Raw genomic sequence first — 16952 nt, 5'->3', positions numbered from 1 at the left:
TTAAAACTTCAGAGTGCAGCAACATTGAGGTCACTCCTAAAAACTGGTATATTCGCAATTAGGATGGACAGAAATTTATTGTTAGTAGTTTGTGTTACAGACCCAAAGTATCCTTCTACCTCCTGGTAAAAACAACCTCATGGTGTGAGCTATCATATACCATTTTGATATCTTAATTTTGCAAATTATTTGGAGTTTCACAGGTAATATATAAAAAATTCTCTATGTTAAATAAAGTATGGTGATGACAGACCTAAATTTACAGAATACAGAATCATAGGAGAATCACTATGTCTTTATATTGTTAAAAGCAAATAAAAGATAAATCTTTTCTGAATCTGCCAAAAGCCTAAAATCTGTAGGAGTAAGTAAAGGAAAAGACAAAAGGTAATTATAAAAAGATAAACTGTTTTGTGAAGGTATTTTGTGGTAAAAGTATATGCAGTCACCCTGTCATACAACGATATTATTTGAAAGCAATCTAACAACCACATGGATCTGTGCAAAGGAATAAATGTTGCCAAGACAAATTACAAAGAAAAACATTCTGAATGCGAGTTTTCTTTGTCATATTTTGGCTCGAAGTCTTTTCACATTTTTCAGACAATTCTTTGGAAATTCTGAGTAGCAAATATTTTTTCTCTATCACTTTTCATCTTTATAACTGCAGCTGCATGCCTCCAGTTCAGCTCTCCTGGACAACTTCTTATTGAGTACCTACTCTGCATCAGTCCATGCTAGAGACTGATGACATAAAAAATGAATAAGATACAGACACTTCATTCAGGAGATTACAGACTACTGAGGTAGAAAAATATATAAACATAACAACATAGCTTCAACCTCCAACAAATATACTTTTTCAAGATTTAAAAGAGATTCTTCTGATCATTTTGTTTACACAGTGTTCCCAGTAACAAGAAGAAAGCCTTCTCCTTAGTTGTGTTAATTTCCCTAAGATTTTCCTTGGGGTAAGTGTGGGGAATGGAAGGACAGATGGAGAAAGAGAAATCACAAATAACATGTTATTTTGTGAGAAATAACCGATAAGAAAATGTTTCCTGAAAAATTACCAAAGATTATGCATTTTAACACATACAATGCATTGCCCACAAACTAAAGTTTCTCAGAGAAGACATTTACTTTCTTCAACATTTCTGGCAACTGTTACTTTGGTTCTAGAAATACATTAAGTATGTTTAAGTCATCATGTTTTTTGACAGATTGCATAGATGCTGTGATTTCTCCTTAAATTAGATAATGGCTATTAAACAGCCAAGAAGGATAATGGTAAACACACCCTTGCTTACTGCCTAGAAAATTACACAGGGGGTTGCAGCTCCTGCTTGCCCAAAGGAAGCAATCATTGACTATCCCTACAATACCAGCAGTGCTCAGGCCAACATGCAGGTGAGCTCAGGGCGACACCCAGGGCTACTCAGATGGGCACCCCATTGGTGTCCACACTGGTAGTTACAAAAAGCACCAGAAATATGTGATATCATTGCCAGCATGGCAGGCTTCAAAAGACAGGCAACTAAGGTGAAAAGCAAAAGGAAAAAAGAGATAAACATGGTCACAGCGTTCTCCGGAAAAGTGTATAAATGTTCAATTCTCAGAGACTTTCATGGTTAGACCACAAAAAGCACTGGAACAGTCCCTCCAAATAACATACAACCAAATAAAAATAATAATGATGAAATAAAATACAGTGCTAAAATCTCCTGAAAACTGTAAATAATAGTTAATCCAAAAATACATCATAATTTATTTTTCCAATTTTTAAGCATAACTCACCACAATAGCAAAGTCAGCTACCTTTAAAACCTAGGTTTTAAAGGTATTTCTCACAATACTCAGGAAGTATTTCTCACAATAATCAGGAAGGAAAAAAATAAATAGGTCTGAAAATCAGAGATTGAGCAATTTGAGTCCAATTGATATGCAACTGCAGAGTACTAACAGATTGAAATGCTCATAATTTTCTGAAGAAAGATACAATAAAATGAAAATCTCCAAAATGCATTACAGGTAGCTACTGGTACTCATATTTTATGATACATCTTTATTAGCTGCAACAATGTGATCTAAGTGTTGTATTCAAAAGAAGAAGAAAAGAAAGGTTTCAAGCCTCAGCACCTGTGAACCTCAGACACCCTTCACTTGACCCTGTTCTTGCAACATCCTTGTAGAATTCTGTTTCTAAATGTGTCTGCCCTGTCTCCCCCAGTAGACTGTTACACATTAGGGAGGAATGTGCCCTGCTGCTTCTTTTTTCCAAGATCCTAACAGAGTGCTCAATAGATGACTATGAAATAAAAATGCCACTGTTCATTTCAAAAGTTAGACATAATACACTGTAGCCAATAGCACAGATAGTATGAGGGTCCTTTTGATTTGCATATTATATTGAGCATGGGGGGAAAAAATATGTGCCCTTGTCATATAAAGTAACTTATGCCACACTTATTCTGATCATGCAGAATAAACTACAAAGGCAAGAAAATTTGACACAAACTTTCTGAAGACTTTCAGCATTGCATAAAGAGCATAAAGCCATTCTAAAGATCAGGTTTCTAGCGTAACCAAATTTGTCTCTATAACCAAATATTCCAGCTGATTGCTAGCCAATTTCAAGTCTGGAAACTCAAGGAAAAAAAAACTGAGAAATATTCATCTCATGTCAAACCTTTGGTCCTGGCTCAAGAATTACACTCAAGTGAGGGTCACGTGAATATCATCTAATGTCCTCAAGAGATGGTATAAATGGTGTGGGACACTGATTCAGGCATCTTAGAACCCAACTTAACTAGGTTAACTTGTTTTTCATACAATCATAAAAAGAAAGGTGATTTAAAATAGAAGAGTCCAGATGACAACAATAAAAGAAAAGGCCGTAATGGGAAAGAAAACCATAATTAATAAATCATTAAATGAGATTATGAGATTTTAATACCAAAAAAAAAGGCTTGCTTCTACACATTCTAATGTAGGCCCCTTTTAATATAATGTGATAAATTGTGTAATACCACATTTTATTTCCAATTATTTTTTCATTTTACAGATAATGATTAGCCAATAATATATCTGGATACCTGTAATAGTAACATTGTTTTATTATATATATATATATTTTTTTTTTTTTTGAGACGGAGTCTCACCCTGTCGCCCAGGCTGGAGTGCAGTGGTGCGATCTCAGCTCACTGCAAGCTCCGCCTCCCGGGTTCACACCATTCTCCTGCCTCAGCCTCCTGAGTAGCTGGGACTACAGGTGCCCGCCACCACACCCGGCAAATTTTTTTGTATTTTTAGTAGAGATGGGGTTTCACCATGTTAGCCAGGATGGTCTCCATCTCCTGACCTCGTGATCCGCCTGCCTCGGCCTCCCAAAGTGCTGGGATTATAGGCATGAGCCACCACGCCCAGCCAACATTGTTATATTATTATAATTTGTCAAAGGAGGAGAGCAGCCAGGCACAGTGGCTCAGATCTGTAATCCCAGCACTTTGGGAGGCCAAGGCAGAGGGATGGCTTGAGCCCAGAAGTTTGAGACCAGCCTGGGCAACAAGCAAGACCCTGTCTCTATAAAAACTAAAATTAGCTGGGCAAGGTAGCACGTGCCTATAGTCCCAGCTACTCAGGAGGCTGAGGTGGGAGGATCACGTGAGCCTAAGACGTGCAGACTGCAGTGAGCTATGATTGCACTACTGCACTCCAACCTGGGCAATGGAATGAGCCCCTGTCTCCCCGAAGAAAAAGGAGGAAAGCCTTCCAAAAATTTCCTAAACTCAAATGAAAATAAAGAGGAAAAAACAGAATTCAAGCATTAATATTTTTCTACACAAAGAAAATAAGCCTTCATGCAGTTCTTAGAAATACAAATTAACTTGAAAAACCATGAAGTAATTGATGGAGAATGTGAAGTAGCAAATTTTGCATCACTTCCAATACTTCCTTTACCACTGCAGAAAAATTATCATCTAAGGCTATCTGATTTCAATATTTTAAAGTGTATTTCATAGTCAAGTGACTTCATTTAGTTTTTTTGTAAACAAGTGAAAGTTAAATACCCACCAAATGTTGGGAAATCATAGTTGTTAAGATCAACAGTAATTTGCACCTATAGATATACTTTGCTTTAAGGATATGGAAGCACATGCTATAAATTTATCCTCACACATGCTTACAGATTTTTAAATTGTTCTAATTCTGAATTAATAAACATAGAAATATTCTATGCAGGAAGACCATCTGTCTAGACATACTAAAGCAGATGAAACATTTCCAGGAGACTTCAGACTAGTGTCAATAAAACAAATCGTCAATTCTCATTTATTCAAGGGACCATAGTGTTTGGAATAGAGCCAACACCTCATTTCTTCTTATTGTCCTTTCAGCTGCCAGTATCTTATCTATCTTATGAGCAGGCATCACTTCAGAAATGATGACAAAATTAAAATTATTCAGTTGAGACAGGTGGTACTGTTCTCAATATACACTACAGTATTTGATTTTCCATTACAACCTTATAAGATTACTAGTACCATTATGCTTATTTTACAGAAGAGGAGCACATGGATGTCAAGTGAATTCCCCAAGACCACAGTCATAGTAGCAAAGTAATATGATCGTCCAAGCTGATTCCAGAGGCTGAATACTTAACCACTGCATGATTCGCTTGCAGTAGATGATTATAGTAGAGGAAATGAAACCCCAAACCAATCACTAGGGTCGGAAACCTCTCCTTCTAAAATAATAATAATAATAATAATAATAATCAAAATGAATGTGAATTTCATCAGTGAAATGGTTCCAACTACTGGTTTTAATGAGATTCACAGATTATTGACAGATTTCAACCCATATATTCAGCCCCAGGCCCTCAGTTATAATTCGGAGTTAACAGTTTGATCTTTCTTGCTTATCTTCTTACACATTTGTCAAGTCTAATATATATTCATAAAGCATTATACTCAGAACTAAACAGTTTTGAACTCCACTGTATTGTACTATTTTATTCTTTATCAATGACCTGTTTTCAAATTACTGAAGTTGAGCAAAATTCTCAAAATTATGGAAGGCTTCTTCCTAGATAAGCACTTATAAAATTCTGACATTATAAGCCAATAATTCTTAACATTTTGGGGGGCCATGAGCCTTTTGGAAATCTGTTGAAAACTGTGAATTGTAACCTAAAAATAAAATGGATATATGAATATATAATTTAAATGTGGCTATAGTTTCATGAGATTATTGAACACTCACACCTCAAAGACCAACAATGAACTTCAATTAAAATACCCTAGTCTTTTGGTCTTGTTTTCCATATTTAATGATTCTCTTATATTCCAATACTCCTTTAAATATCAGCCTTCCCCTAATGAGTTATAATCATGATCTTATTTGCAAAATTTCACAGAAAATGTGGTCTTATTAACAAAGATTAAATTAGTATACAAACTTACAGGAAAATAACTACTTTGCTTATGGAAAGAACTATAGAGAGGCAAAGAATTATCCTACTTCCCAAATGCGTTCTACGACATAGTCAATGAGCAATTTCCCACAAAAAGGCTATCAAAGCACTCATGTTTGAATGTGAGCTAAATTACAAATGCACAATTAAAGTTGCCTTATCCTTATGGGCATACCCTCTCTAGATCTGATAGTAAGAAAGTCCCATGACTGATGGTAGATAAAATAATCTTGATCATTACCTTTCCAAATTTAATGTACTGTAGTTAAATAGCCATGTTCACTGGTTTTGACTGCATCATTGCACTTTCTGATCTTTCTGATAAGAGAAAAACATTAGATTTTTTGGAGGTGATGTCTTGCAGCTGACAGGCTCTCATTTTATTTTCATTCAAATTTTGGAGGAGTCAATAGCTAGAAACTGACCTTTTGTTTTGTGGTCCATAAGGGAACCTAGTCAGTATTAAATATTAAATATTTGTGTGTATGCCCCAGTTTCAGTAATGTCATAAATATGCTGGACATACTTCTCCAGAAAAAAATAAATATATATACAAATTCTGTATACAACAATATCGAGGGGTTTCTCTGAAGCCCAGCTGTGGGTCTCAAACTTCATGATGAAGAAGATATACCTGCATTCAATAGACAAGTGTTTAGCTGACACTTCTGATTTGGGGGATGGGGGGGCCTTACCTCCTTAAAATGACATGGAAGAAATCTAACTCTGCTCTGCCTTTAAAGATGTTAATCGTATGCAAAGAAACAACATTCATCAGAAATAATCACCATAGCATTCTCTTTGTTATCTGGTGGGTTTCTCAAAGCATAAAGGGATTGACTGCTCTCAAAGTAAGGTCCTGGCTCTTTTCTATTTCAAAGGTTGAGAAGCTGAGGGATGGGGAGCCTTCTGCATCTGCCACAGTGACTCCATCCTGCATCTCTCCAGAGAGCTAATCAGTAGATATTCTGACGCTGGCAACACAAACAAGCTGGGAATTAGTCTGGCTAATGTAGGTATTGTCTGCTAGGACAGTCACCACCTACCTTGTAAATTCTAACCCACCTCCTTCCTAAAGGTCCTGTCACACCATCACCCATGACCTCAGTCTCCTCAGGATGTATGCGTTAAATCCAGTGTTAAGATGTACGTGTTAACCCCAGTGTTAGCCATCTTATTCCATATTTATTTTGTCTACATTAGCCTCTCTCATTGTCTTTCTTGTTCTCTAGTTGTTTTATATAAGTTCATCCTCAATATATGTCATACAGTGCAACTATACACTGTTAGACATATACATGGTCTATATTCATTATTCCTCAGGCTCCAAGGTTAAGTTAGACTAGAAAAACTATTGTTTAAAATGATTCATTTCTTTAATATATTAAAGTTGTTTTTGAAATGTGATTTTTTTTCCACTTAAAGTTATCTTTATCCCTCCTAGTTCCACCAGGTTTTCTGCATGCTGTATTTACTAGTTACAAAGAGACTATACTAATAGCAAAGACTAAACTTGCTAATATTTAATATTCCATTTTAAAAAATAGTATTGCAAAATGATGAACAGGCAAAAGTAAGATGAAAAGTGAAACCTGTATGGAAACAAGAAGAATAAAAAGTTTTCAAGTACTCAACATCCTTGGTAACTTTTCCCATGACCCTGTGATTGGAAACCAGGACATCATTTAAAATGCTGGTCACCTTGGAAAGCAAAGACACCTCTAAAAATAAAAATCAACATTTCCAGACTCTGTCATAATGGCTTCCTGGTAAACAGAAAGACATGCTTGCTATTCTACGCCCACATGGGGGTTGTGGCAATTAATTATTTAACATTTGGAAAGTGCTTTGAAGATAAGAAGCTAAGTGCTAAAAATCATCATCAATTTTCAGGAAACCACACTTAAAGTGAACCCACCAGGTTTATTGTTGGAAACTGAACCATTAGCATAAGGACATGTTTTCTTTTTCCATTTCATTTAGACCATTAGATCAAATAGCCAACACCGCATGGAATCTTCCTCTCCTTTTGATAAACCTTTGAGTGACCTGTGGGTGAAAAACTACTTGGTTTTCAGAGAAAATATAAATTCTAATAACATGGCTTTTCTGGAATTTACAGTGTTTCGCTTATTAGGTATCTTTCCTCTTCTGCCTTTTACTTAAATTACATAATAAACAGTGAGTTTACTAAACATGTCACATGTAAAACTTTGTGAGTGATTAAAATCTAGTTTAATATACTTCTACTAACTAGTTATCATTTAAGCAAACATTTATTCAGGTGTCCCTGACCGCATTACATTTACATATTTAGATGAACAATCCCAAGACTTGATTAACCTTTATACTCTAAATGAAAGTAATAAGCCATTCTATTTAAATAAACAAGTGTTTTGGATCAACAGATTTTCCTTCTTACAATATGTTCTGGTTTGCATTTATTCATTTAAAAAACTTAGGTCAATGGCCCAAGATTGAGAAATGCATGTTTTTCGCCAAGGTATAACTAAAATCCACATAAAAACCTACCTACATGCATGCTAACAAAAAAGAGGGCATTAAGTGGTTTTTAAATTGGGAGTCATGAGCAGGACCCTCTGCAAAGTCATCACACAGTAACTGTGGCTGGCTTCGGATTAAATATACAAGAGTAGAAATTTCACCTACACCCATTTTGGACACAATACATAATTTTGTCCAAAATATTATTTTTACTTCACTATCTCTTACGCAGTGAAAGATCATCTATACCAATGTCATAATTTCAGGTTTTTGAGAATTAAAAGCTACACTAGCATTATCTTCTTGGATATAGAGTTGTTTCCCATTAAATCAAGCTCAACAATGTTTCTCTAAAAAGAGGGTTTATGTATTTTAATCCCCTAAATACACAGTTTTAAAAGTCATCTTTCTAAAAGGAGAAAGGACTTGTTATGCAATACATTGTTACCACTCATCATATATAAACATTAATACATTTTTACACATCTAGTAGTCTACCTCAAATCTTTTATCCATATTCACTCTTCCCAAACACCACCCTCCGCCAAAATGTGGAACTAAAATCTTAAATGTGTTATATATTCTTAGTCTCAATAGGAAAAAAAACGTTAGCTGGTTGCTGAAGTGAGAAGATTTCCATTAGGTTCTTGGCTCACATAACAAAAGTAACCATGGAATTCTGCATAGAACCCACAACAGATTGCTCAACTCAGAAACAAGGTTAATGTCTAAGAAAGTTAAGCTAAAACAAAATTTCTTGTTGACAGCTTGATGATTACTGTGTATTCCATGTAATCCTCATTTTCTACAGATCATCATATAATAAATATGTAGATAAATTACTTTCCATGGTTCATTTCTAACAATCTCATTTCTTTAAAAGAAATGGAGAATAAGTACGAGCAATTTAAATTAAAACTGGGGAGGAAAATGGATTCAAGGAAGCCCTCTTTTTTAAAAAAAATTTTCAAAGAAGGTGTTGTATTATTTCCTCCTCCACTCCGCTGGCTTTATTAGGGTATACAAATAATGGATTACTGGTACAAACAGAAGACATGTTCACACTTGATATTTTAAAAGAGTGTTTTGTGGCATACATTTTTAACTCTCTGCTTTAATGTTAACGGTGCAATTAGATAGTCCCTTAAAAATAAACAATACAACATAGTTGCCATATTTGAGGAGGTGGGGGAAGGGTGAGTCATTTCAGATAAAATGTTTTCCACCCATTTGAATATGAAGGAGATAAAAACTGTCCAAGGGAATTAGCCATGTCCTAAAGTGAATGAGAAATGAATTGGCAGAGACTGCATCTCCATGAGAACATTACTTTGAATCAAAACCAAATTTCTAAAACATTCCAGGTGATTTGCTCTATATTTATGGAATTTAAATACGGAAATGAATGATTCTGAAATGTTTAAGAAATAAAGCAATTTAACTGTCAATGCTATATGTATTGGTTATATGTTCTAATGTTTATATCTAGGCCTACAGTGATGGGATAGTTGAAGACCAACACTTCGAGGAGCTTCTCAGCTGGACACTATCCCCTGGTTATGAACTGCTCTTATCACACCAGTCTCCAACTCAACAGCAGTGAACTCTCTGTTAACTCAGAGATTGCTTATCTAAGTTACTTTGAGGGAGGCCAACAACTAATACACACATACTCCTAAAACTTTTATCCACCATATGTCCAAATCCTTCAAATGTCATCATCAGTAATCACTTCTTTTGCATCTTTCTTCTGGTAAAAATTAAAAACACAAATGGTACAAAAACACATTATATGTTAAATCATTTCTTACTAAAATATTGTCAGATGTTTTCCTCTTGCAAAGAAAATTTAAAAAAATAAGGAGAGTATTAACAGCTTTCAGACTCACAGCATATTAGAAGAACCACACTATAATAGAGGTAGGGCTGATAAAGTCAGGTATGATCATAATAACGAACACCTAAACCATACTGACTATGTGCTATGCATTTTTCTAGGCATTTCACATTCATTAACTTACTTAAACTCTAGGAATTAAAGAAGGTTGGGATAAAGAACTTGGAAGCACAGAGTCCCCCGTCATAAGGCACGAAGTCTTTGGTGCTGTGCTGTGCAGCCCAGATCTCCCCTGCAGAACAGAGGTGCTTCCCCAGCTGGTGGAGTGTTCATTGATGACGCTCAGCTCAACCTTGTTCTAGAAATTACCTTAGCCAAAGAGAGCCGTCTGACCCAAGGTCACACCCCTCTCCAGAGGCAGCCCATATATCATGACCAGTTGTTGTGGGATAAAGAGGCCTAGCTTCCTTATCTGGGGGCAACTCTAAAGGATCTCTCTCCCCAGCTCCAGAGCTCCTGATGGGTTCAGCTGAGGCCTCTGTTACTGTCTTGCTCTTCAGCTCCTCCCTCTTCCCAGTCCAACTTCCTTAACTCCCCAACAGGTAGTGTCCCTCAGTACAAGTCCCAGTAAACTTCTTGCACAATCTCACAAACTGTTTCACAGGGAACTCAGCCTAAGACAATGGTAGAGACAGGATTCAAGCCTGGGCTCTCTGGCTCCAGAGCTCATGCTCTTAACTCGCACAGGGAAACCCTGACAGTCATGGAGGATTTGGAAAACAACTTTGATGGGAGTTTCCAACGACCTCAACAGCCTATTGAGCCAAGAGGTCTCAATAAAAATAACTGAAACTTGCCACATGATTACTGGATCTCAGCAACCTTCTCAAAGCCCCCCAGATATTCGTGGGGTGTGTCAGCTGTGCTCACCACTCATCCTTTTTTTTTTTTAACTATACTTTAAGTTCTGGGACACATGTGTAGAACCTGCAGGTTTGTTAGATAGGTATACACCTGCCATGGTGGTTTGCTGCACCCATCAACCCGTCATCTACATTACACCCATCCTTTCATATCCTTCCACTCAGGCCCCTTTGCTGATGGCCAATGGCCAGTCAATAATGCCACTTTCCAGCCCAGGATACATTTATACATCCTTTTGCTTATCCTTTATGTTGTAAAGAGGGTGTCATAGCTGTGTCTAAATAAGGATTAAGGCATAATGACATGGAAACACTCAGTGTAGGAGCAATAACTTCACATGTCTCCAGACCTGAGACCACGTCTGAATTATATAATGAATACCAACAGATGAACAAGAGCGAAAATTATATTGAATATGTTGAAACAGAATAGAAATGTGTGCAACTCATTTTAAAATGATGTACATCAGAAAATATCTTAAGATAATTTTAGACAATTAATAAGCTTCAATTATCAGAAAATTCAATTAAAATGACTACTTCATACTCTATTGACAGCAGATAAACAGGCCACTCTTGTAATTTAAGCAGACAGGTTCACAGTTTCTCACAATCAGCCTCCTCAAAATATGATTTCCTCTTCCTTGATTCCACAGACCCTGCATAGTACCTACTAAGGCTTTCACATCATCCCACCCCTGCTCCCCAAGCCATAGGGGTTCTGTCAGATCCCACATCCCCAGACAATCACCTAAGGACTAAATCCTCACTTTCTCTACAGAACTAAGAATTTATTCCATCAGCTGTCAACTCAAGTAGCAGCCTGGGCCACATGCTCTAACCTGCTTTTTCCTGCTGTTCTGGTTTTTATATAAAAGACTCGTGGGCTGGACACAGTGGTTCACGCCTGTAATCCCAGCACTTTGGGAAGCTGAGGCAGGTGGATCACCTGAGGTCAGGGGTTCGAGACCAGCCTGGCCAACATGGTGAAACTCCATCTCTACTAAAAATTCAAAACATAGCCAGGCATGGTGGTGCGCTCCTGTAGTCCCAGCTACTCAGGAGGCTGAAGCAGGAGAACTACCTGAACCTAGGAGGTTGGAGGTTGCAGTGAGCCGAGATTGCGCCACTGCACTCCAGCCTGGGCAACAAAGCAAGACTCCGTCTCAAAAAATAAAAATAAAAATAAAAAAAGGACACTGTGTTGTTCAAGCCCATGTGGCAGAATCCATCTATCACACAAGCTAAAAGCTGTAGGCCAAACAGGAATACATGGCACCAGACTTTCCAGGCTCTTTAATTTGCATACACAGTATTACATTTAAAAAAGCTATCCAAGATGATGATTTTTAAACTCACCCAAAATAAAATATATTGCATTTATTTGGAAAAGTAAACTTTTTCAGAGTAGTGAGATTATACCAGATAAACCCCAAACCAAAAATGTTGGTTTCAATTCAGAAATAACATCCAATTTCATGTTATCAGTAGCAAGGTGTGGACTTGTTTCATAGAAATTGTATAAGGAAGTCTAAGTGCTTATTTTATAACCTCAAATGTAACAATGCATTTACACTAGTGCCTTCCAGTCAAGGTCAAGAGCTGAGATAAGACATGCTGAGGCCAGTAAACTTTATAGGAACTGTCATGTGCGGTCAGACCCACAATCCTCTAGACCAACTTTCAGTGACACCTGACGACATCAAAGAACAGGAAATTATTCTACAAAATGATAAGTGACTTGAAGAAAGTTCTGTGAAAAGAGGATAATCCTGGGTAAAGTCTTGAGTAAAGAGAGAATAACCACCCAAAAGATTAGGTCTATTTACCAAATGTCCATCTTCTCTTTTAAATTGTATAAATACTTAATCCACCCAGTGATTTGCTCTGGACCTTCTCCTGTTAGAGTATCCAGTTTCTCCTCTTGTGGTAAAAACATCTGCTCACATAAATACCCACTGTATAAACTTAAACTTTTTAAAAATTTAAGCTAAACCTACTTCTCTCAGTTATGTATTTTTTTATTATTTTTTATTTTGTAGAGACAGGGTCTCACTATGCTGCCCAGGCTGGTCTCAAACTCCTGGCCTCAAGCAATCCTCCTGCCTCAGCCTCCTAAAGCACAAGGATTACAGGCATGAGGCACCCAGCCTATTTCTCTCTTATATGTGGTGCTCCTAGTTCTGATATTCTTGGATTTGGGGTAAGTGTTCATGACCATTACAGGCTTTGGTGAGGTCTCCTTTCAGACTTTACACTTCATTGTTCAAGACCCTAAGCATTCAAATAACTTTCTGTGTGTTCTCTTAAAGAAACTCCTCCATTCTCATGATATGCAGCGTGTTTCTCTAGACCCTTCCCAGTTACATCTGCCCTGAGGTGCAAGACCAAACCCTCAAAGGAATATTCTAGACAAGACTGCATAAAGTTCAGATACATGGACAAACATAGAAATATAGCACTTAAATATTCCTATTAAGAGATAATTGAACTCAAATGCATGTTCAAGTGTAATATTTATCAATATATTAAGGAGTAGTGAAACACTGAGATTTCACTGGAAATATTATGCATATGTAATAAATGAAACATCTGTTCTAAAACGTCTCAATATATTGTGCTTTCACATATATTGTAAGGTAATGACATGCACCTAACAGAGATGTATAGAACAATGATATTCTCTCACCTTTACATAAAATCCAGTGTTATCATGCTGCCCTAATACCTGTACCATAAAGAAGTTCTACTCTCATTCACTTTTATTTGCATTCTATTTTCCAAAGATTTTATAGGAACAACATTTGGACTTCAAACTCTTAGTTCAATGTAATCAATATGATAAATATTTTTTAAATGATTTGAATGAGGCAAACACCAAATTCACAGAGATATGAATAAATAAGTGAATGAATGACTCTTCCTTCTTGCCTGCCACATGAGCACCTTTTCCAACGGAAACCCACAACCCCCCAAAATAGAGAGTTAGTAGGTGTCTCTAATTCTATTTTTTATAATCTGTGGTTATACATATAATCAGTGATTAATAAATACATATTTCTTCAGAGCAAGTATAAAAATTGCTATTCCTTATAAATCTTTTTTTTATTATTATACTTTAAGTTCTAGGGTACATGTGCACAACATGCAGGTTTGTTACATATGTATACATGTGCCATGTTGGTGTGCTGCACCCATTAGGTAAAGGCCTTTTTAGGCATCTTTAAAGTGGTGTTCATTGGGGGAAGCTAAGTAAAGCATACAGAAAAACTCTCTGCACTGTATTTTTGCAACTTCTAGTGAGCCTGTGTTTAAAAACAAAAAGTTATTTATAAAACTGCTAACAATTCATTTTTAATCTCAAATAATCAATAAGTAAAATTTATCCAACTCAAAGAACAGATCAAATACAGTCATATCAAAATAAGTTAATTAATTTTTCCAAGAAACTATAACATATCACAAACCATAATAACAAAGACTCATCCCCAAAGATATGGGTTCCAAACTTCATTACAATGAATTTCACAAAAAGTATGTAAAAAGCCTAATAGCAATGATCACAGCTACTGCATTGGAGGAATATCTCCAGAAGAAATACAGTTTTGTTTTTGTTTTTTTGAGACGGAATCTCGCTCTGTCGCCCAGGCTGGAGTGCAGTGGTGCGACCTCACCTCACTGCAACCCCCACCTACCAGGTTCAAGCAATTCTCCTGTCTTAGCCTCCCAAGTAGCTGGGATTACAGGTGCCCACCACCATGCCTGGGTAATTTTTGTATTTTTAGTAGAGATGGGGTTTCGCCATGTTGTTCAGATTGGTCTTGAACTCCTGACCTCAAACAATCCGCCCACCTCGGCCTCCCAAAGTGCTGGGATTATATGCGTGAGCCACCGTGCCCAGCCAGAAATACAGTTTAAATAAAGTTGGATAAGATAATTTGGCATCTCTGGTCTGTCTGCATTTTTTTTTTTTTTTTTTTTTTTTTTTTTTTTTTTTTTTTGGAGACAGAGTCTTGCTCTGTCACCCAGGCTGGAGTAGAGTGGTGCAATCTCGGCTCACTGCAGCCTCTGCCTCCCAGGTTCCAGCGATTCTCCTGCCTCAGCCTCCCAAGTAGCTGGGACTATAGGAGTTAGCCACCGCACCCAGCCAGTACACATTTTAAAAATACTAAGTATCCCTCCATTAAATAAGCATTTTCTGGCCACCGTGAGGACCATGGGAAAGTATACTGTGTAGACAACATGAACACATATGAAACAATTAAAGGGCAGTGCAAAGCAGAAAACAATAAAGTGATCAATTCAACTGCAGAATTCACTGCCTAAGGTTTTGGCAATAAAAATAGGTAAGTGTTTGAACTATATTTTCTTTTGATGCTTTTGGAGTGGTGTTTTTATTTCATTTCTTAATATATTTTTCAAGAGAAATTATCTAATCTAGTTTATCTAAATCTTTTGAGACATTTCCTATCCGCCTTCTCCCTTTTCCCTGGCAAAGGAGCTCAACCTGTGAAAGTGCAAATGTGTGAGCTGCGTGTCTCTGCTTAATCGTTAATGCTCTGCCATTTTCCAAAGCAACTGTAATTAGTACTTTAGCAAAGTCCCTACCATGAGGCCCTACTCGCTGCTAACATCGTGAGTGCTCATCTCACATTCCTAAGGACAGAGTCTCCAGAGGTCAAAGGAATTGAAGGAATTTGTGAAGCAGTTCAACTGTGATGTCTCACTGCAGCTGTGGTCACACAGTACTCAAGGAGAGAGTTTCAGGAGTGCAGCCATCAACACTCAAGATTCCATGAAACTTTCAGCCTAACTGATGGTCCCACTGATTACTCACTCAGAACAAAACATATTTCACCAAATATCACTTTCAGGACTTCATTCCTGATCCTTCTGGGGTAGAAGGTGCAAAAACCTGGTTTGTATTAGAGACATTAGGAATATTTCAATAAGGCCAACAGATTTCCATGCTGAAGGGCACAAGAAATGGAAGAGCTAATCCCATTCCCTTTGGAGTTCAGTTTAGATAGTTTAATTGTCATAATCCTATTTGTTAAACAGGTATCCTTCCCTAAATCCATAGTATACCCTTGTTTTTTAAATCCCATGTGTCAAGTAAGAACCGAAAGGAGCCTTGCTTCCAGCTTTAAATAAAGCAATAACCAGGCACGCCTGGATGCATTTGTTTTAAAAAGAGCCAGTTTAACTTCTCAAAGGAATGAAATCACTCAGAACAGATGAGATTTTTCTGAAATTCACTGTTTTTAAAACAGTAGTTTAACAGGGTTCACCATAACTACCCCTTGTATTTATTTCAATTTTCCTAACATTATGTCTGTAACAGAAAACAAAAGCTGTTTACTATACCAGATGATTCCATTTTCCACTAAATCACCCTAAATTGGCCACATTTGCGTCAAGCACACAAGGTATACTACCTAATATGTAAACGTCCTTATAAAATGTAGACTGACTTATGTTATTCTGAAGTAAAATGTTACATGCTCAGTATTCTGAGTACCACAGAACAGCTATACTTAAATGATGGCAGCAAACACCCAAGACCCCCATAAGCTCTTTAAAAAAAAAAAAAAAAAAAAAAAAACTCAAATACAGGAAAAAAGGAAAAGAACATCAGTCTTTGGGTAAGAAAATCTAACTAGATTTCTATATAGAAATCCAAGTTTCTTCTGCTGCAAGCCTGATTTTTCAAAGGGATACCTACTGTTATTTAAAGGAAGATCATGTAATTCCCCAAAACAAAAATCATACACATTTTAATTCTATTTAATTTAAAAATAAAAATGATATGCCTCCAAACCACTTTTTGAATAGTCACAACATCAAGCCAAAGCTGAAAATCAGACCTATCAAAGGGTTAAGAATTGTTGCTTTACACAAATGTATATAAGGTGTATGTTGTTTGCTTTCATATTATAATCAACATATCTGTGAAACACCTTATTTATATTAAGCTGAAAAGGTACTATAAAAGCTCCAGTTTTCAGCTATTCTTCATCCTTGAATGTTCAATTTTACACAAAACATGGTTTCCAAAGTATTAGCACTGGAGAACCCACTGTAATATTTTAAATCTGGAAATTTGTGGCCATTCTAATTATAGAAGCTAAAAATATTCAATGTGTAAGCTTTGGGGATCACTCATGGAGTGAAGAGCAGTGTAATCATTTTCAAGGGTTCTCCAAGTCGT

General features: G+C 36.6%; 1 protein-coding gene across 4 annotated transcripts in view, besides 1 other annotated feature; it reads right to left on the bottom strand.

The window, feature by feature from the left end:
- The window catches only part of SLC4A4 (solute carrier family 4 member 4), a 509424-nt gene that overhangs the window by 360507 nt on the left and 131965 nt on the right, over positions 1 to 16952 (bottom strand). The window lies entirely within an intron of this gene.
- Positions 15159 to 15711: an enhancer, noted in NCBI's record as "OCT4-NANOG hESC enhancer chr4:72061583-72062135 (GRCh37/hg19 assembly coordinates)". NCBI's record gives its function as "activates a minimal SCP1, AML or CMV promoter by ChIP-STARR-seq in primed H9 embryonic stem cells {active_cell/tissue: H9 hESC(primed)}" and the evidence as "EXISTENCE:reporter gene assay evidence [ECO:0000049][PMID:30033119]".

This window comes from Homo sapiens, chromosome 4 (assembly GCF_000001405.40).
Source record: "Homo sapiens chromosome 4, GRCh38.p14 Primary Assembly".
Classification (NCBI taxonomy): domain Eukaryota; kingdom Metazoa; phylum Chordata; class Mammalia; order Primates; family Hominidae; genus Homo; species Homo sapiens.
This window is presented reverse-complemented; position numbering and strand designations above follow the sequence as displayed.